Genomic DNA, 22,544 nt, shown 5'->3' on the forward strand with positions numbered 1-22,544 from the left:
TTTTTGTAGGGATAATGTTTCACCATGTTCCCCAGGCTGGTCTTGAACTCCTGGGCTAAGGTAATCCTCCCACCACCTCGGCCTCCCAAAGTACTGAGATTACAGGCATGAGCCACCGCACCTGGCCTGTAAACAGTTTTACTGGAACCCAGCGATGCCCATTCATTTACGTATAGGCTACGGCTCCTTTTGTGCTATAACTGCAGCGTTGAGTAGTCCTGAGCGAACATACGGCCCATGAAGCCAAACATATCGACTATCTGGCCTTCTTCGGGAAAGTCTGCCAGCCCTTGCCATAAATAAATGCAGCTATACACACATGCATACACAGAAAACAAATCTGAAATTGGATATACACCAGAGTGATGTGTGGTCATCTCTGGGTACTTTTGGTCTGCTTCTTAGAGCTTATCTGTATTTTTCAGTTTTTCTGTACTGAATCTGTTGACTTGGCAAGCAGGCCTCCTGTAGGTCATCATACTTTGATCAGATTTTATTAGGGCTGACTGCCAGAAGTCAGGAGTGTACAGGGAAGACTTCCTGGAGGAGGGGTGCAGGAGCAGGCTGGGAGGGTGAGAAGAACCTGAGTAAGAAGGGGTGGAGGAGCGGGCCTAGCCTGGGGGCAGGAAAGGAGCTTCCCACCTTGTTTCCGGCCCCCTCCTTCCAGAATGCCACCTCATACTTCAGATCCAGTGGGGGCATGCAGGGGGGCAGCTGGTACGTGGCATTGGCACTCAGGATCTCCTCCGTCTGGGTGAGCACCAGGACAGGTGGGGCCGGCTCCACTGCAGAAACAGAGCAGGACCTGTCAGTAATCCCGAGGGGCCGCACTGCCTCCATCCCCCAAGACCAGAGAGCTCTCTTGGAAATGGAAAAGCAACTAGCATGTTTCAAACACTTCTTGTGCACCTAGCACCTTATAATCTGTTATTTCAGCCTTGCACTGACCCTGGGAGGGAGATATCACTACTCTCATTTCATAGAGAGGAAAACTGAGGCTTAGAGAGGAGAGGTGACCTGGGCAAGCTCATTGCTGACCTGCCTTCTCTCATGCCATCCCATCCGCCTGGGTGCCCTCCACATGTCACTGGCCTGGCAGATCCTGCCCATCTGGATTCATTTTCTATTGCTGTCATAACAAATTACCACACACACAGTGCCTTAAAAATGATACAAACTTATTATCTCACAGTTCTCTAGGTCAGAAGTCCAGGTGGGCTCAGCTGGTTCCTCCGCTCTGGGTCTCACATCTGGAACCGATGGGGGAGAAGACACTTCCAAGCCCCCTTGGGTTGTCAGCAAAACTTAGTTCTTTGTGGCTGTAGGGCTGTGGTCCCTGTTTCCTGGCCGATTGTTAGTGGGAGCCTCTCAGCTCCGGAAGGCACCCACATTTTTCATCACGTTACCACTCCATCGTCAAACCAGAAACGGCACCATGGAGTCCTGTTTATGCTTCAAATCTCTCTGACTTCCCCTTCTGCCACTTCTCTTCTGCCTCCATCTGGAGAAAGTTTTAAAGGCTCATGGGATTAGATTGGGCCCATCTGGATTATCCAGGATAACCTCACTATTTGAAGATCTATGTCTCAGTCTATTTTGTGTTGTTATTACAGAATATCACAGGCTGGGTAATTTATAATGAACAGAAGTGTATTTGGCTCATGTTTCTGGAGACTTGGAAGTCCAAGAGCATGGCACTGGCATCTGGTGAGGGCCTTTGTGCTGTGTCATCCCATGGTGGCAGGTGGAAGGGCAAGAGAGGGTGAGAGTAAGCCAGCAAGAGAGGGCAGAACTCACTTTTCTTTTCTTTTCTTTCTTTCTTTCTTTTCTTTCTTTCTTTCTTTCTTTCTTTCTTTCTTTCTTTCTTTCTTTCTTTCTTTTTCTTTCTTTTTCTTTCTTTCTTTTTTCTTTCTTTTTTTCTTCTTTCTTTCTTTTCTTTCTTTCTTTCTTTCTTTCTTTCTTTCTTTCTTTCTTTCTTTCCTTCCTTCCTTCCTTCCTTCCTTCCTTCCTTCCTTCCTTTTCTTTCTTTTCTTTCTTTCTCTTTCTTTCTTCTTTCTTTCCTCTTTTTTTTTTTTTTTTGAGACAGAGTCTTGCTCTATCACCCAGGCTGGAGTGCAACGGGGCGATCTCAGCTCACTGCAACCTCTGCCTCCCGGATTCATGCGATCCTCCTGCTTCGGCCTCCTGAGCAGCTGGGATTACAGGCGCCCGCCACCACTCCCGGACACTTTTTGTATTTTTTAGTAGAGACAGACTTTCACCATGTTGGCCAGGCTGGTCTCAAACAACTGACTTCAAGTCTTGGCCCCGCAAAGTGCTGAGTGGCATAAGCCACTGCCCCTGGCCAGAACTCACTTTTTAACAATCCATTCTTGATAAACACACTCCCGCAAGACTGACCTTAATCTATTCATGGGGGCAGCGTTCTTAAGGACTAAATCACCTTTTAACAGGGCCACTTCTTAATGCAATCACAATGATGATTAAATGTCAACAGGAGTTTTAGAGGGGACATTCAAACCATAACAGTCTATAACGTTAATTAAGATTCCTACTGCCACGCAATACTGACATCTAACATATTCTTAGCTTCTGGGGATTAGGGCAGAGCACCTTTAGAGGATCATTCTGCCTACCATGGTCTTCCCTCTGTCCCCCACCCAAAATCCACATCTCTTTCTTTTTTCTTTTTTTTTTTAGATGGAGTTTCACTCTTGTTGCCCAGGCTGGAGTGCAATGGCGTGATCTCGGCTCACCGCAACCTCTGCCTCCCGGGTTCAAGCGATTCTACTGCCTCAGCCTCCCGAGTAGCTGGGATTATAGGCATGTGCTACCATGCTTGGCTAATTTTGTATTTTTAGTAGAGATGGGGTTTCTCCATGGTGGTCAGGCTGGTCTCGAACTGCCGACCTCAGGTGATCTGCCTGCCTCGGCCTCCCAAAGTGCTGGGATTACAGGTGTGGGCTGGGATTACCCAACCCACATCTCTTTCAAATGCAAAATCCATTCACTCCATCCCAATGTCCCCCAAAGTCTCATCTCATTACAGCATCAACTCAAATTCCCAAATCAACAGTATCTAAGTCAGAGTCAAATAGACTCTGGGCATAGTCCAGTCAGTACAACTCTCGGGGTACAGTTTCTCTCTATCTGTGGGCCAGCAAAACTAAAGTTTTCTGCTCCCAACATAAAATGTGGGACAGGCACAGGATAACAGTTGCAGACAATCTGGCTCAAGCATGGGGACATGAAAGGGACAATCAGGTCATGGTCCAATGCAGTTTGAAAATCCAGCCAAGAAAACTCCATTAGGTTTCAAGGCCTGGGAAGAATTCTCTTTCGCTCTTAGCACTGCCCTTTGAGCTTCTGGTTTCACCGTCTGAGATATCCTTCCTTTTCACTAAAGGTAGCAGGTGTTTGCAGCTAAGTAGTTTTACCAGTCTGCATCTCAACAGTAGAAACTGGAGAGTCCAACAGCCTTCTTTGATTTCATACTCTCTGTGTTCCATTTAATCCAAGCTAACAGTGTTTCTGTGGATGTAAACGTCTCAGGAACTTTACGGGTCTCCTATGGATGTCATGGGGGAATCCACTGCATTATTAGATAAAAGCCAGGTCCACAGATCCTTTTTTCAGATAAGCCCTTCTCTACTTTTGGCTCCAGCTGAGATGGCTGAGGGACAATGCTGTTCAGCTTCCTAGAAGTCCCCTGGTTTGATTGAAGGGGACTGTGAGTTATAATCTTAATCTCTTCAAAGAGCCTTTTGAGCGACTGAGTACTTTGATCTTTTATCTTCCTGAAGTTTGGTATAATCACATACTTGGCTGTTTCTCTATGTCACACTTTTGGGAGCAATCTCTTTTTTTTTTTTTTTTTGAGATGGAGTCTTGCTCTGTCACCCACCCAGGCTGGAGTGCAGTGGCATGATCTTGGCTCACTGCAACCTCCGCCTCTTGGGTTCAAGTGATCCTCCCACCTCAGCCTCCTGAGTAGCTGGGATTACAGGTGCCCGCCACCACACCCAGCTAATTTTTGTATTTTTAGTAGAGACGGAGTTTCCCCACATTGGCCAGGCTGGTCTCAAACTCCTGACCTCAGGTGATCTGCTCGCCTCGGACTCTCAAAGTGCTGGGATTACAGGCATGAGCCACTGTGCCCAGCTACAATCTCTTAATTTTATTGTTTTTTGCATAGGTTGAGAACCTCCCAAATCATCAAGTCCTGGTTCCTTTCTGTTTAAGTTCTTCCCTCATTTTCTCTCTCTCCTCTTGCATTTTACTATAAGAGGCAGGAAGAAACCAGGCCGTGCCTTCCACATTTTATTTGGAAACCTTCTCGGATAAGCATTCAAATTCATCATTTACAAGCTCTGTGTCCCATATGACTGCAGGACACAATTCTGCTAAGCTTTCTGCCAGTACAGAACAAGTTTCTTCCTTTCTCAAGTTTTCAATTACACGTTCCTTACCTTGTGAAGCAGTGCCTTGAGTGTTAGTGCGTCTACTAACAGGCTTTTCACGATGATTGAGGTATTCTTGGAGGGGATTTAGCTTTTCTCTAAAATGCTACTTGTTTCTTTCTGCACTCTGAGTCTTCAACTTCCACATTCCTACCGATAGTCTGTTGAGGGCCTTCTAGCCTTGCCCAGTGGCTTGAAGATGGAGAGGGCAATGTGACAAGGAATATGGCAGCCAGAGAAAACTAAATACACCACCTTTCAAGTTCTAACTAAAATGCCACTTCTTCCATGCAGCCTTCCCTGATTCCCAGCCAGCAGGGATCTCTGACCACACTAGTCACCTTTGCCCTGTGTTTGTGGTCAAGGTAAACATGTGGCTTCTTCATGATGTCATTACTTACATGTTTAGGAAACATCCACTGGGTACTGACTAGGTATCAAGCTTCAGGAAGGGAGCTGAGGGGAATGCGGAGATGAGGCCTCCTTGTATCCTGACCTTCAGGAGCTGAAAGTTTGGGGTAAATGAAATATGCAAACTACCAAAAGAAAGTGACCACGGCCACATATGAGAGCAGAAAAAGTGTGGAGGGAGTGTAAAGGCAGGAAGGATCACCCTGGCTTGGGATGTGGGGCTGAAGAATCAGGAGAAATTCAGGGAGGAGGCAAAAAATTAATGAAAACATTTTAAATATCTTTGTGTCTTTCCCTTTATTCTTCTAATGTCTTATTCCTACCCATTCAGCAATTATTGTGGTTTGTCTGCCATTCTTCTAGCCAGAGAGCCTTCCTGTCTGCCTTCTTATCCTTCCTTTCCTTCCCATCCATCCATCCATCCATCCATCCATCCTTCCTTCCTTCCTTCCCAACCACCCTTTCTTCTCAATCATCCTTTCTAACCAATATTTTTTTCTTCCTATGCCTCCTTTCTTATTATTCATTTATACTTCTCACCTTTTATCTAGCCAGTGAGCCTTCTAACCTACTCATCCATTCTTCCCATACATCCATTCTTCTTTTCTCTTTCACCTTTCTACACATCCTTCCTTCTTGTCTCTCCTTCCTTCCTTCCTTGCTTCTCCTTCGCTCCAGCCCTTCCTTCCCTGCCTGGATGTCCTGCTTTTCTTCTATACTATCTACCCACCCATCTCATCCACCCATCTGCCTTTTCTTCTGCCTTCTGTGATGGTTAAATTTTTTCTTTCTTTAAGACAGGGTGTTGCTCTGTCACCGAGGCTGGAATTCAATGGAACAATCATGGCTCACTGCAGCCTTGACCTCCTGGGCTCAAGTCATCCTCCTACCTTGGCCTCCCAGATAGCTGGGACCACAGGTGCCCACCACCGTACCCAGCGAATTTAATTTTTTTTTTTTTTTGTAGAGACGAGGTCTCCCTATGTTGCCTAGGCTGGTCTTGAACTCCTAGGCTCAAGTGATCTGCCTACCTCATCCTCAAAGGATCTTCCCACCTTGGCCTCCCAAAGTGATGGGATTACAGGTGTGAGCCACAGTGCCTGGCCTGTGATGGTTAAGTTTATGTGTCAATTTAGCTGCACTAAGGGATACCCAGGTAGACAGTAAAACATTATTTCTGGGCCCATCTGTGAGGATTTTTCCAGAAGAGATTAACATTTTAATCGGCAGATTTGGTGATGATCTGTCCTCACCAGTGTGGGCAGGCATCATCCAATCCACTGACGGCCCAAAGAGAACAAAAAATGGAGGAGGAATGGCACATTCACATTCTCTCTTCCTGAGCTGGCACATCAACTTCTCCTGTCCTTGGACGTTGGAGCTTCCTGTTCTCCGGCATTTGGACTCTGGGACTTATATCAGTGGCCCCTCTGATTGTTGGGCCTGTGGCCTCCGACTGGGGGTTACACCACTGCTCCCCTGGCCTTGGGCCTTCAGACTCAGACAGAATCACACCACAAGCTTTCCTGGTTGTCCAGCCCATGACTGCATGCTGGGGGACATTTTTGTGTCTGTGATTGCATGAGCCAATTCCCATAATAAATCTCCTCTTATTATAAATTTTTTTTTTTTGAGACAAAGTCTTGCTCTGTCACCCAGGCTGGAGTGCAGTGTCGTGATCTCAGCTCACTGCAACCTCTGCTTCCCAAGTTCAAGCAATTCTCCTGCCTCAGCCTCCTGAGTAGCTGGGACTACAGGTGTGTGCCACCACACACGGGTAACTTTTGTATTTTTAGTAGAGACAGGGTTTCACCATGTTGGCCAGGCTGGTCTTGAACTCCTGATCTCAAATGATCCATCCGCCTCGGCCTCCCAAAGTGCTCAGATTACAGGTGTGAGCCACCATGGCTGGCCTCTTTTTATTTATTTATTTATTTATTTTGAGACGGAGTCTTGCTCTGTCACCCAGGCTGAAGTGCAGTGGCACGATCTCAGCTCACTGCAAGCTCTGCCTCCTGGGTTCACGCCATCCTCCTGCCTTAGCCTCCCCAGCAGCTGGGACTACAGGCGCACATCATCACGCCCAACTAATTTTTTTTTGTATTTTTAGTAGAGTCGGGGTTTCACTGTGTTAGCCAGGATGGTCTTGATCTCCTGACCTCGTGATCCGCCCGCCTCGGCCTCCTAAAGTGCTGGGATTACAAGCTTGAGCCACCGCGCCCGGCTGGCCTCCTCTTAGTGTATCTGTATATATCCTATTGGTTCAGTTTCTCTGGAGAACCTTGACTAACATACTTCCTATCCTCCATCTCTCTATCCACACATATTTCCTTCCTAATAGGCATCTATCCTTCCATCCAACCTCCTTCCTTCCCATTTTTCCATTGCTTCCTCCTCCATCCCCTCCATCCTCCCTTTCTTCTTACCCATCTGTCCTTCCCTTCTTTTATCCATCCACCGAGCCAGCTTCTTTCCACACGAATCATCTCTTCTTCCTTCTCTACCATCTCTTCCTGCTGCCCTGCAATCAGTCTGTCCCTCTTCTCTCTTAAAGCCTTATTTTGTCCTTGAACACTGTGAGAAGCCCGGGCAGCAAGTTACAGCTCTCAGCTCTCTGAGGACACTGTCTGGGCATTTATCCTCCCTTTGTTACCCGGCCCTGCCCGAGGTCAGAAAGATCCAGTTCACATCTATGTCCACCGGTTACTAGCGGTATCAAGTCCACTGGTTACTAGCGGTATCAAGTTTCTTAGCTTCTGTGAGTCTCAGGTTGATGGAAATGAACCTCACAAGTTTGCTGTGAAGATTAAAAATAGACTGAAAAAAAAAAAGTGCCCTCCTCACCCAATGTCAATACATGATTTCTGCCAGTAAGCATGGGACATTTTTTTTTCTATCATCTTTACCCCCCCACCCCCCACAAATTTCTACAGTGTATAGAAAATACTTTTGCAAACAGAATTTGTTTTTTTTTCTTTGTTTATTAATTTTTTTCTTTTGAGACGCTCTGTCGCCCAGGCTGGAGTGCAGGGGCGTGATCTTGGCTCACTGCAACCTCCGCCTCCTGGGTTCAAGCGATTCTCCTGCCTCAGCCTCCCGAGTAGCTGGGATTACAGGTGCCTGCCACCAAGCCTGGCTAATTTTTGTATTTTTAGTAAAGACGGGGTTTTGCCATGTTGGCCAGGGTGGTCTCAAACTCCTGACCTCAGGTGATCCACCTGCCTTGGCCTCCCAAAGTGCTGGGATTACAGGCGTGAGCCACCACGCCTGGCCCAGAATTGGTTTTAAACATTGTTTTTAAGGAGAGAAGCTGAACATAAAAAATAGGAATAAGCATATAAAGTGCCTTGTGTAGTCCATGACCAAAATGGTGCTCAACTGAAAATAATGAACATTGTTAGCAGAGGGTGCACGTGAGATTGCTGGTGCTGGCTGGAGCTCCCCTAACTCCCTGACAGGCTGCCAGACATGGTCCCTCGCTGTTGCTGGTCCCACACCCCATCTCAAAGGGCCTGGCCCAGGGAGCTGCCCTCTGCTTTGGGGAAGTGGGAGACAGATGGTCAGGAGAACAGAACCACTGAGCACTGAGCACAGCTCCCCGATGGGATGGACAGCCTTCCACTCAGTCCCTTACCCACAGACCTACCTTCAAAAAGGTAATCCAGGTATTCGGACTCCACCCAGGGGGACTTGGAGCTGGGAGAAACCGTCCGCACGCGTCCCTTGAACTTGTTGTACAGGTCCTGTTTCTTCAGGCACATCATAGAACATAGCAGCTCCTTGGTTCCCGCACACTCTTCCACTTCGCGCCACCGTCTACGGGTGGGAGAGCTGGGGGAGGAGAGAGGAGAGCTTGGGCCATGGACTCAGCCTCTCCGGGTCAGGGAACTTAGAGAACAGTTGATCATGCTTCCCTCTGTTTGGCTGGACTGACTTTAGGTCCATCCGTCCAGACAGGCAGCCACTGGCTGAGACAGGATAAGAACAGCCTGGTCAGGAGCTCAGGTTCTGGAGCCAGATGGATGGGAGTGGGAATCCCAGCCCTGTCCCTCCCTAGCTTTGGGACCATGGGCAGGTCCTTGCCCCTAAACCTCAGTTTCCTCATCTGTAATGCCTCCCTCACAGGACTGTTGCGGTGGCTGCTATTCCTAGTACTAGCGACCATTACTATATGTTTGTTCATTCAGGCGTTTATGGGCCACCTGCTGCATGCCAAGGACCATGATAGGTACTCTGTGGATGTCAGAGGGGAACATGCAGGTCCATGACTCCAACCTGGATACTTCAGAGAGCTGCCTGGCCCTTCTATCTCTTCTGCCACGTGAGGACACAGTGTTTGCCCTTCCGCTATGCGAAGACGCAGCGAGAAGGCACCATCTTGGAAGCAGAGAGCCGCCCTTACCAGAACGGAGTCAGGTGCCACCTTGACCCTGAACTTCCCAGCCTCTAGAACTGTGAGAAGGAAATTGCTATTATTTATTAATTGCTATTATTTATTAATAGCAATTATTAGAATTACACCATTCTAAGGTATTTTGTTAAAGCAGTACAAATGGACTAAGCCAGAGACCCAGGGAGCCTAACATTTTATTTTAATTTTTATTTTTTGAGATGGAGTCTTGTTCTGTTGCCCAGGCTGGGGTGCAGTGGCATGATCTTGGCTCACTGCAACCTCCGCCTCCTGGGTTCAAGTGATTCTCCTGCCTCAGCCTCCCGAGTAGATGGGATTACAGGCCAGCGTAACCACACCTGGCTAATTTTGTATTTTTAGTAGAGACAGGGTTTCACCATGTCGGCCAGGCTGGTCTCCAACTCCTGACCTCAGGTGACCCACCCGCTTGGCCTCCCAAAGTGTTGGGATTACAGGCAGGAGCCACCGTGCCTGGCCTAACATGTTTTTACAAGATCACTCTGGTCAACCAGCAAGGAGGCCATGGTAGGGATGTGAGACAGGATGATGGTGGAGACAGTGAGAAAGGGCTGGATTCAATATCTATTTTGGAGGTAATAATAGAACTAATAGAACTTGCTAACGGATTGGATGTAGAATGTGGGGAAAAGGAGAATCAAGGATTGCTCCTGGGTTTGGGGAGTGACCAAGGATGAATGGAGAAGGCTGAGATGGGGGCTGACACAAAGATCAGATTTTGAGAAAGAACCAATTCCTCTGTTTTGTTTCTTCATGGAAAATGTTATACTATGCAAATATTCACACCAAAGGAACCAGTGTAGTTATATTAACAGGAGACAAAATACAGACTTCCAAGTCCAAAGCAATACTAAAGATGAAAAGAACATTAGATAATGATAAATGATTCCATTCACCAGGAAGACAGAAAAATTCTAACTTATGTGTGCCTACTAAACAACTTCACCCTCTATAAAGCAAACAGACAAACTACAGGTAGAAAGTGAACAGCCACACTTACAACAAGAAATTTTAATACATCTCACCCAGCAATTGATGAATAGACAAAGAAAAATAAATACATAAATAAATAAAGAACAACACAGTTATCAAGTTGGTCTAATGAACATATACAGAACTAACTAAACAAATTGGTTGAACCACATGTGAACTATTAACAAAATATTAACACAAAGCAATTCTTAAGAAATTTTAAAGAATAGGTATCTCATAAAGTATTTCTTCTGATTGCAAAACATTCAGTTAAAAGTTAATAACAAAAAGAGAACTAAAGGAAGTTTGAAAATTTAAAAAAATATATATTTTTTGAGACAGCGTCTTGCTCTGTTGCACAGGCTGGAGTGCAGTGGCACAAACATAGCTCACTGCAGCCTCTACTCCTGGGCTCAGGTGATCCTCCTGCCTCAGTCTCTGAGTCACTGGGACCACAGGTACCTGCCACTACACCCAGCTAATTTTCTTTTCTTTTTTTTTTTGAGACAGAGTCTCGCTCTGTCATCCAGGCTGGAGTGCAGTGGTGCAATCTCGGCTCACTGCAAACTCCTCCTCCTGGGTTCAAAGAATTCTCCTGCCTCAGCCTCCCAAGTAGCTGGGATTACAGGCACCTATCACCACACCTGGCTAATTTTTATATTTTAGTAGAGATGGGGTTTTACCATGTTGCCCAGGCTGGTCTCAAACTCCTGACCTCAGGTGATCCATCTGCCTTGGCCTCCCAAAGTGCTGGTATTACAGGTGCTGGGATGAGCCACCACTCCTGGCCCAGCTAATTTTAAAAAAATATTCTGTAGAGAGGGGGTCTCACTTTGTTGCCTAGGCCGGTCTCAAACTTCTGGCCTCAAGCAATCCTCCCACCTCAGCCTCCCTAAGTGCTGTGATTACAGATGTGAGTCACCACACCTGGCCTTAAAAATATTTTTTAAAACAACCCATAGATGAAAGAATTATAATGGAAATTAATAAATAGCTGAAAGTGAATGATCACCAAATAACACAAATGAAAACGTATAAGACAGCTAAGTAATACTTAGAGGAAAACATATAGCTTTAAATACTTATAATAGAAAATAAGAAAGAATAGAAATTAATAAGCTAAGCAATAAATGATAAGAAGCCAGAAGAAACATGTCACAAAAACATATCCATGAACAGATCAAAACTGGAACCTGATACTTCAAAATGGGCAAAAGACAGTAAAAAGTGATGCAGGACAAGAAAAAACCACATAAAACCTAATTAGAAAAACTCAGACACAGAAAAGAATTATATATATTTTTAAAAAGCAAAATTCATTTCAGAAGTGAAGAATAAATCAGAAGGAATACAAGAACAAATTAACACAATAGATGATGCCTTAAAAGAAACAGAAGGCAAGAAGAAGGAAAGTTAAAAAAATATGTAAAAGCTAAAATTATAGAACTTCCAGAAGAAAGCATAGAAGAAAAATCTTCATGACCCTGGGTCAGGCGAATATTGCTTAGGACACCAAAAGCGTTAACTGTTGAAGGAAAAAAATCTGATATATTAGTCTGTGAGGGCTGCCATGGTAAGACACCACAGGCAGGGTGGCTTCAGCAACAGAAATCTGGAGGCTGGAAGTCCAAGATCAAGGCATCAGCAGGTTTGGTTTCTACTGAGGCCTCTCTCCTTGGCTTGCAGATGGCCGTCATCTTGCTGTGTCCTCACAAGGCCGTTCTTCTGTGTGCATGCGCTCTTGGTGTCTTCCTCTTCTTATAAAGACACCAGTCCTATTAGATTAGGGCCCACCCTTATGATCTCATTTTACTTTAATTACCTCCTTAAAGGCTCATCTCCAAATAGTCACTTAGAGGTTAGGGCTTCAACATATGAATTTGTGGGGTAGAGTATAATTCAGTCTATAACACCTGATATACTGGATTTTATCAAATTAAAATATTTTTCTCTTCCAAAAAAAAAAAAAAAACCCACCAAAAAAGCCTAACGAAAATGAAAAGGCCAGCCACTGGGGAAAAAAATCACAATACATACACTGATAAAGGATTTGTATTCATAGATAACTCAATAATAAGAAAATAAATGACCTAATAAAAAGTGGAAAAATATTTGAATAGTCACTTCACAAAAGATATATGAATGGCCAATAAGCACATGAAAAGATGTTCAACATCATTCATCATTAGGGAGTTGTAAATTAAAGCCATAATAAAATACTACTACATACTCACTAGAATGGTTAAAATGAAAAAGACTGATAATACTAAGTGTAACAAGCACATGGAGTAACTAGAACTCTCATGTATTGTTGGTGGCAATGAACAATGGTACAGTCACTTTGGAAACAGCTCGACAGTTCCCTGTAATAGTACACATTCATTACCTAATCTCCTAAATCTTAACCCTAGATCCATTTTTCTTCTCCCTCCCTCCCTCCCTCCTTCCCTCCCTCTCTTTCTTCTTTCCTTCCTCCCCTCTCTCTCTTTTTTTTAGAGACAGAGTCTCACTCTGTCACCCAGGCTGGGGTGCAGTGGTGCAATCATAGTTCACTGCAGTCTAAAACCCCTGGGCTCAAGGGATCCTCCCACCTCAGCCTCCTGAGATGGCAGGGCTACAGGTGTACGCCACCATGCCTGGCTAATTTTGAAAATTTTTTGTAAAGATGGGGTCTCACTATGTTGCCCAGGCTGATACTCCTAGATCTTTATCTAAGAGAAATGAAAACATATCCACACAAAGACTTGTACATGAATGTTCACAGCAGCTTAATTCATAATAGCCCTATTATGGACGAATTGAGTTCCCCCAAAATTCATATGTTGAAGACCTCATCCCCAGTGGTATTGTGTTTTGAGATAAGAGCTTTAAAGAGGTAATTATGGTTAAATGAAGTAATAAGGCTGGGGCCCTAATCCAGTAGGACTGGTGTACTTGTAAGAAGAGGAAGAGATACCAGAGTGAACACACACAGAGAAAAAGCCACGTGAGGACACAGCAAGAAGGCAGCCATCTGCTAGCCAAGGAGAGAGGCTTCAGGAGAAACTAAACCTAGCAACGCCTTGACCTTGGACTTCCAACCTCCAGAATTTTGAGAAAATAAAATTCTGTTGTTTACCCAGACTGTCGTACTTTGTTATGGCAGCCCTAGCAAACCAGTGCAGATTTGGGCACCAGAAATGAGGTGCTGAGGTAATCAATACCTAAAAATGTGGAAGTGGCTTTGGAATTGCATAATGGGTAGAATCTTGAAGTTTGAAGTGCATGTTAGAGAAAGCCTATATTGCCTTAAAAAGACTATTGGTAGGAATATAGACATTAAAGGTGATTCTGGTGAGGTCTCAGGTGGAAAAGAGGAATGTGTTATTGGAAACTGGAGGAAAGGTGATCCTTGTTATAAAGTGGCAAAGAACTGGTTGAATTGTCTTCTAGTGTTTTGCAGAAATTAGAAGTTAAAAGTTCATTGGCTAGCCATCTCAAAAATGATAATATAAAATAAATAACAAAAAGATAATTTAAAAGACATAAACTTGGATGCTTAGCAGAAGAGATTTCTAAGCAAAGTGCTGAAGGTACAACCTGGTTTCTTCTTACTGCTTATAGTAAAATGTGAGAGAAGAGATATATGAAAAGAATTGGTAAGCCAAAAGGAACTAGAACTTGAAGCTTTGGAAAATTTTCAGCCTATCCACATTGCAAAAAAAAAAATGAGAAAGCATGTTCTGGGGAGGACACTAAGGTTGTGGCTAGAACAACCTTTTGATAAAGAGATCAGAGGTGCAACTCATAGACTTAATCAGCCATTTAAGCAGAAATTAGACATACTGATGGGATTATACCAGCAGAGGCACTTCCAGCTTTGACTAAAGGGGACAGAGATGGGACAGAATGAAGGAAGGCTGTTGGACTTCTGGGATTCTAAAGAAAGGGACAAGAGCTGGAGCTATTTGGCTGTGAACACGCAATATCCTTCAAGTATAGGGAAAAATTTCCTGGAAGATGATTCAGAGATCAGCAGGGTTGTCACTGCCACCAAAGACCTGGAGGCAACACTGTCCCCTCCTTAGTTTCAGCAGGCTAGGCTGCTGCTAACCAGTGACTCGAGGGTAGGGTCACCACCCAGGGCAAAGGGGATAGGGCTGCCGCCCCAGTGGGCCCAAAGGGCAGAGCACTGAGCCAAAGAGGGCTATTCTTGAAACTTAAAATCTAATGGAATTTGCCCTGCGAGGTTTTAGACTTGCTTGGGACCTGTCACTCTTTCCTTCTTTCCTATTTTTCTCTTTTGGAATGGGAAAGTCTATCCCATGCATGTCCCATCACTTTATTTTCAAAGCACATAACCTGTCTGGTTTCACAGGTTCATAAGTGGAGAGGAATTTGGCCTCAGGATGAGTAACACCTCCAGTCACACCCATACCTGATTTAGATGAGACTTTGGACTTAGAGTAGATGCTGAAATGGGTTAAGAGTTTTGGGGCTAGCCAGGTGCAGTAGCTCATGCCTGTAATCCCAGCCCTTTGGGAGGCCAAGGCAGGCGGATCACCTGAGGTCAGGAGTTCAAGACCAGCCTGGCTAACACGGTGAAACCCCATTTCTACTAAAAATATAAAAAATTAGCCAGGCGTGGTGGCGCATGCCTGTAATCCCAGCTACTCAGGAGGCTGAGGCAGGAGAATCTCTTGAACCCGGGAGGCAGAGGTTGCAGTGAGCCGAGATCACACCATTGCACTCCAGCTTGGGCAACAAGAGCAAAACTCTGTTTCAAAAAAAAAAAAAAAAGAGAGTTTTGGGGCTGTTGGGAGGGGGTGAATGTATTTTGCATATGAAAAGGACACAAATTTTGGGAGGCCAGAGGGCAAGCATATGGCAGCCCTAGCAAATGAATACCTGCCCAGAACTGGAAGCAACCCAAATATCCACTGACGGGAAAATGGATTAACAAATGTCATACATAGTCATACAATGGCATTACTACTCAGCAATAAAAAGGAATTAACTACTGATACATGTAACAATGTGGGTGAATTTCAGAAACATTATGCTGAGGGAAAGGAGCCAGACACGAAAGGGTACATACTATACACATCCATTTATATGAAATTCTGGAACAGGCAAAGTTTAATCCACAGTGTCAGAAAGCAGATCTGTGGTTGCCTAGATCTGGAGGCCTGAATGCAAAGTGGATGAGGGAACTTTCTGGGGTGATAGAGAACGTCTTACATCTTGATTGTGGTGGTGGGTACGTGGGTGCCCACTTTTGTCAAAACTCATCAAATTGTATACTTTAAAATGGGAACAGTTTATTCTATATACATTTTAACTCAATAATGTTGGTTTTAAAAGAAAATTGGAATTAATTCAGCACGGCAAGCTATGATAAGAAATGTGCGCTCTTAGCTACAAACATGTCAGCTAAAAGCAGACTAGAGTTTCAGGAAAAATAAATGTAACCAAGAGAAAGATTACAAATAAGATGTTGAATAATCTCACACATGGAAGCATACAGTTTTTTAAAAACTCAAGAGTGAAACCTATTTCATTTAGAGAGCAGAATAGTAGATAGATAGACAGATAAAAGGCATTTGAAAGAAAAAGACAAGTATTCTCTCCTTTTTCTTTAATTTGAGACAGGGCCTCACCATGTTGCCCAGGCTGGTCTCAAACTCTTGGGCTCAAGCGATCCTCCTACCTATGCCTCACAAAGTCTTGGAATTATAGGTGTGAGTCTCTGTGCCCAAAAGACAAATACTGAACACAGAAAAAGAAGATCCAACATACAAGTGATATGAGTCCCTAAAGAAGAAAATCAAAACAAGAGAATAGAACAAATACTAAAACTATAATTTAAGAAAACCTTCCTAAAATAAAAATGCCTTGGAACCATGTATTAAGTGAGAATATTGAGTGCCTAAAAATATCAACTCAGAATGAATGAGCAATACCAACACACAGTCAAATAAAATTACTAGATTTTAAAGAAAAAGCAACAACCCTTTATTAGTCAGGGTTCTCCAGAGGAACAGAACTAATAGGTTATACGTATATATGAAAGGGAGTTTATTAAGGAGAATTGGCTCACACGATCACAAGGCGAAGTCCCACGATAGGCCGTCAGCAAGGTGGGAAAGAAAGAAGCCATAGTGACTCAGTCCGAATCTGAAACCCTCAAAACCAGGGAAGCTGAAAGTGCAGCCTTCAGTCTGTGACCAAAGATCCGAGAGCCCCCAGCAAACCACTAACTTAAGTCCAAGAGTCTAAAGGCCAAAAAACCCGGAGTGTGATGTTCAAGGGCAGGAGGAGCAGAAGGAAGCATCCCGCACGGGAGAAAGAAGGAAGCTGGAAGACCCAGCAAGTGAAGCTATCCCACCATCTGCCACCTGCTTTCCAGCCAGCCTGGCAGCCAGTTGGGTTGTGCCCACCCACACTGAGTGAGGACGAGTCTTCCATTCCCAGTCCACTGACTCAAATGTCAGTCTCCTCTGGCAACACCCTCACAGACACCCCCAGAAACAAAACTTTAACAGCCATCTAGGCATCCTTCAACCCAATTAAGTTGACACCTAATATTGACCATCACAAACCCTTTGGGCGAAAAGAGCAAGAAACTATTAAGAGGCAAGTATGTATGTTTTGGGATAAAGAAAATGAGTAATTATGGGTCATTCTAGTTCTATCATGTCCCCTGTCCTTGAGAAACAGGATTCTCAGTGTGAAAGAAAGAAAATATAGATGTACCATAGAAGTCAGGTAAAAATCCTAAGGAACTAAATTTAGATGGGAAGCACCCGTATAACTCATTAGGCATTTTATCTTAAAAATTATGTACATGTAGGCTGGGTGCGATGGCTCATGCCTGTAATCCCAGCATTTTGGGAGGCCGAGGGGGGCAGATCACTTGAGGTCAGGAGTTCGACACCAGCCTGGCCAACATGGTGAAACCCCGTCTCTACTAAAAATACAAAAATTAGCCGGGTATGGTGGTGGGCGCCTGTAATCCCAACTACTTAGTAGGCTGAGGCAGGATAATCTCTTGAACCCAGGAGGTGGAGGTTGCAGTGAGCCGAGATCATGCCACTGCACTCTGGCCTGGGTGACAGAGTGAAGCTCTGTCTAAAAAAAAAAAGTATGTACATGTGTGTGTCTATGTGGTATACACACATCACTCTGTTCACTGAAAACACCAAAAGCAATAGCTAAGTAGTGATCAGCATAGCTAGCATGCAGATTATAGTCTTTATAACCATTTCTTACTAAATGGAGAAATGGCTGACTGCAGGTTTTAGGTCAGGAATTGTACCAGAGGGACCTGGAACATCTTGTCGTAATGGACAGCTGGAAAGGTATCTGTTAAATCTGGAAAGATTTAACTTGACCACTAGGGTCAAGTTAAAAGGACTCAGGAGCAAACTTGATGAGACTCCCACTGGACAGAGATGAGGCAATTCAAGCTTCAATGAGCAGAGTACGTCGCAATAGACTGAAACCACCAAATGTGTTTAAATGCCTGAGTTCATAATGATAATAATAAACTAGCAATCACCTTTGGGAGATGATAAGGAACCAATTCATTATCTTGAAAATTGATAAAGGAAAAAAATTAAGCATTTATCCTCTCTTGCCTATTTGAATAGTATGACTGGATATCAAATACCAGATGAGAGGATACATCTCTTTATAAAATAATTCCAACTAACAAATGAAAAAAATTATATAATTAGAATATCACCATTCTAATGTATAAAAGACATGAAAAATATCATAGAAGTTCAGAGGATAGACTTTCTTTCTTTTTAGGATCTTGCTCTGTTGTTCAGGTTGGAGTGCAGTGGTGTGATCTCAGCTCACTGCAACCTCCATCTCCTGGGCTCAAGTGATCCTCCCCACCTCAGCCTCCCAAGTAGCTGGGAACACAGGCACATGCTACTACACTTCACTAATTTTTTGTATTTTTTTTTTTTGTAGAGACAGGGTTTCACCATGTTACCCAGGCTGGTCTCGAACTCTTGGACTCAAGCAATCTCCCCACCCACCTCGGCCTCCCAAAGTGCTGGGATTACAGATGTAAGCCACCATGCTTGGTCCTAGAGGATAGACTTTCAACTCCTTAATAAATTTATTCCAGCCATACTACGCCCAGCTGTGTGACTTTGAGCAACATGCACCCTTGGTGCTTCAGTCTCCTCCTCTGTAAAGAGGCGTACTGAACTTGTCCTCAGAGAGCTGCTGTGAGATTAAGTTCATTACATGTGTTGACACAGTGCCAGCCACACAGTAAATATTAGGTGTTTTCTGGCACCTGATAACGCTCTTGCTTTTGAAAGCTCTCTTGCAGTCTGTCCCTGCTCAAGCCAGGCTCCCATCACTCACATGTGGATTCCACACATGGAAGGATGACGTGATGCAACAGGAAGGGCACAAATGTTGGAGTCGGACCCGAGTTCCCCTTCTGGCTCCATGACGTCCTTCCTCAGACAAGACACAGCACCCTCTGAGCTCAATCCCCTCACCTCTAGAATGGGGAAAACACAGAGCCTGCCTGGTCACATTGGGAGAAGGAAGTGAAATATTCACGTAGGGCCCTTAGCACTTGGCCTGGCACAGGACGGGTCCTGAGGACACGGTGGTCCCCTCCTCTTCCTGCTTTCCCCTCCTCACCAACTCCAGGTGAATCCTCCCGAGCTTCTGCTTCTATCATCTCACTGTCCTGCTAAAGAACTCTGAACGATTCCCATCTATGTTCGAAGATGGTGGATCTGCTTCCATTGTCAGATTTCTCTGGATTCGCTGTGGCTGCCTGGGCTTCCAAATTGAGAATGATCCCATCGGGAAAAGTGTGACCATTTGGCCAAGCGCGGTGGCTTACGCCTGTAATCCCAACACTTTGGGAGGCTGAGGTGGGTGGATCACCTGAGCTCAGGAGTTCGAGACCAGCGTGGGCAACATGGAGAAACCTCGTCTGTATTAAAAATACAAAAATTAGCCAGATGTGGTGGCATATGCCTGTAATCCCAGCTACTCTGGAGGCTGAGGCAGGAGAATCACTTGAACCCAGGAGGTGGAGGTTGCAGTGAGCCGAGATCAAGCCACTGCACTCCAGCTTGGGTGACAGACCAAGACTCTGTCTCAAAAAAAAAAAAAAAAGAGAAAAAAAGTGTGATCATTGAGGGATGCCTAATTGCCCAGGTAACAGCTCCTCTGCTGTGTACCTAGTTGCCTCACTGATCAGCTGGGACAGCTCCAAGCACCTCATCCAGCCACTTGAGAATTTCATCCTCTGGCCCCCACAGCTACATCCATGCCCCACACCAACTTTCCTCAAAGACTTACCCCCGCCCCGGCAGACTGGTCACCTGTACACTGCTCTTCATTCAACATCTTCCCCACCTCCAGACCTTTATCAAAAGCCCCTCTCCAAATGCCGGCCACATGCCATCTCCCGTAGGGCCCAGAGAGCTAGCCAGTGCTGCCCACACTGGGTGCAGCTGTCCCAGAGAAGCCCCTCCAGCCCCCACCCACCCCCTCAGTCTTCCCATCCACCAGCCGAGAGAGTCCCCTCTACCTCTGATAGGCCACAAAATAGGTCACATCCTGGGGGTTGCCAAGCCCTGGGAGCCATGTCAGGTACACGCTGAAGTTCTGGGAGAGCAGCGTCACATTCTGGGGAGGGGCCAGACGGGGCCTCCCTGGGGGAAAGAAAGGGGTCATGAAGCCTGGAGCTCCTGGCTGGTCTTGACTCAGGCCATCCCAAGCTGAGGGGCAGCACGAAGGGCAAGCAGGTGCTCACTGAGTTTGAGGAACCAGGAGCCACTGACTGGCTGTACTGCAGCCCTTGTGCCATGAGAGAAGACCCTTTGCCAGGAGGGGAGGCTCCTGCACACTCTGGGACCGGAGGGTTCCAGCAGAACACCATGGAACAGGAACCTAATGGCCTCCAGGAGGGAGCATCCTTGAGGATATCAAGGACCAGGGGCTCTGTCCTGTTCTCAGCCACATCCCCAGAGCCTGCCTGCCATGGCCTCAGCACATAGTAGGTGCACAATAAACATCTGTTGAGTAAATGAATGAATATTACAATAACATGGGTTACACCAAAGGCTTCCTGACCGGTCTCCTTGCTTCCAACCTTGTGTAAGGGAGATGACACAGCAAAGGTTGCTGCCTAGGCATTAGAAGTAGATGCCACACTCAGATGGTCCAAGCCAGTGGCCAGAGATAAGAACTTCGAGGCATCTCTCCCTCCCGGCAAACTGGGCTCCCCACTTCCCACCCATTCCTTTAAAGGGATCATTCAAGCATTTGCCCTCAAACTTAACCTGACCCACACCCTAGTCCCTTACATAATATACTTCTCATTGCCACAAGCTCTCACTTTCTTTTTGCCTGACTCTTCATTCCCGCTTCATGTAGCCCAGGATGGAGGATGACCCTCCCTACTCATTGCACCTTCCCTGCTCAGGATCTGTAAGTAATAAGCCTTTGAACTTGTTTTGCATTGAGGTGGTGTACTGAATTTGCACCTTCCATCTCAGGAACCCAGGCCCAGCCCAGGCCTGGTTTTCCCTGGGTTGCTGGGAACACAGTCTGGCTCCCAGCGCCAGAGCAATGGTCAGACAGGCATAAACTTGGACATGGATCAGACAAGAGTCACAGGGACGTCTGCCAGTATAAACAAGTGTGAAGGACCCCCAGCCATGGGTTAGACAGCTAGGCTATTAGGCTGTCCGCCAGGTAAGAAGTATTTCATGGGCCGGGCGCAGTGGCTCAAGCCTGTAATCCCAGCACTTTGGGAGGTCAAGGTGGGCAGATCACCTGAGGTCAGGAATTCAAGACCAGTCTTGGCCAACTTGGTGAAACCTCGTCTCTACTAAAAATGCAAAAATTAGCAGAACATGATGGCACAGGGCTGTAATCTCAGCTACCTGGGAGGCTGAGGCACGAGAATTGCTTGAACCCAGGAGGACGAGGTTGCAGTGAGCTGAGATTGTGCCACTGCATTCCAGCCTGGGCAACAGGGCGAGACTCCATTCCAAAAAAAAAAAAAAAAAAGTGTTCCATGAAGGGCACACTGTAAGTACCCACGCCCAGTTCGCTGGCATTATTCATTAGGGCAGGCTTGCCAGCCACTCTGCTACTGGAACCCTAATTTAGCTGGAGGCGATCAAAAGCCCTTGTCCCAAGGTGGATGATCACTAAATCCACATTTGGAGGCATGTTACTATGGAAGTTTAGGTGACACCTATATTCATTATTTATTTCACAATTTCATTTTTGTATTCACATTTCAGATTTGTGAATGCAGTTTTTTTCCTGAAAATTCATTTTAACTTGAAAGTATGTTTTTAATTCCCCTGATGTAATTAATGGACTATGTGCATATTTATACCTAGGTGTGCTTACATGTTAATAATGTATTTGCATAGTTGTGAGAATTTCATATTGGACTCCATAGTGGTAAAAAAATAAATACAGGCCGGGCGTGGTGGCTCATGCCTGTAATCCCAGTACTTTGGGAGGCTGATGTGGGCAGATCCCGAGGTCAGGAGTTCGAGACCAGCCTGACCAACATGGTGAAACCCTGTCTCTACTAAAAACACAAAAATTAGCCAGGCGTGGTGGTGCACGCCTGTAATCCCAGCTACTCAGGAGGCTGAGGCAGGAGAATCGCTTGAATCCGGGAGGTGGAGGTTGCAGTGAGCAGAGATCACACCACTGTACTCCAGCCTGGTGACACAGTGAGACTCCATCTCAAATAAATAAATAAATAAATAAATAAATAAGTAAACACAACATCTGTCATATACATTTCTTTTCTGTTGGTTTAAGAAAATATCTGACAGCTTTACCTACTTCTGCAGGTTCATCCAAGCCCAGATATTACTGAACGAATATATTGATGTAGAGTATGTGTTATTTTGTTTTCAGTTCTGCTCTAGATCATAACTATGTAAAAAACACTGTCATAATCAGTTATACTAAAATTCATGAGCCCAAATGTAAGATGAAAAGTCTGCACTGTAGTCTAAGGTCATTGCTCTATCAATAATTACATTCTCATTTTGATTTACAGAAGAGCTTTATGGTAGAAACACCAGAAAACACCTCATACTATTAAAAGGCTTTTTCCCCATTAAAAAAAAAAATACAGGTCGGGCATGGCAGCTGACACCTGTAATCCCAGCACTTTGGGACATCGAGGCAGGAGAATCATTTGAGACCAGGAATTTAAGACTTGCCTAGGCAACATAGTGAGACCACATCTCTACAAAATAAAT

At 45.2% G+C, this 22,544-nt stretch overlaps 1 protein-coding gene across 5 annotated transcripts in view; it reads right to left on the minus strand.

The window, feature by feature from the left end:
• Positions 1 to 22,544, minus strand: part of IFNLR1 (interferon lambda receptor 1) — a 33,122-nt gene that overhangs the window by 6,732 nt on the left and 3,846 nt on the right. For 3 of the 5 annotated variants that reach the window (NM_173065.3, NM_173064.3, NM_170743.4), the window contains exons 2-4: positions 19,832 to 19,955; positions 8,518 to 8,702; positions 643 to 785 (exon numbers count right to left, since the gene is read on the minus strand). In NM_173065.3, coding sequence (NP_775088.1) covers positions 643 to 785; positions 8,518 to 8,702; positions 19,832 to 19,955 — 452 coding nt within the window. The other 2 variants (XM_017000479.2, XM_006710394.5) reach the window with 2 other exon arrangements.

This window comes from Homo sapiens, chromosome 1 (assembly GCF_000001405.40).
Source record: "Homo sapiens chromosome 1, GRCh38.p14 Primary Assembly".
NCBI lineage: Eukaryota > Metazoa > Chordata > Mammalia > Primates > Hominidae > Homo > Homo sapiens.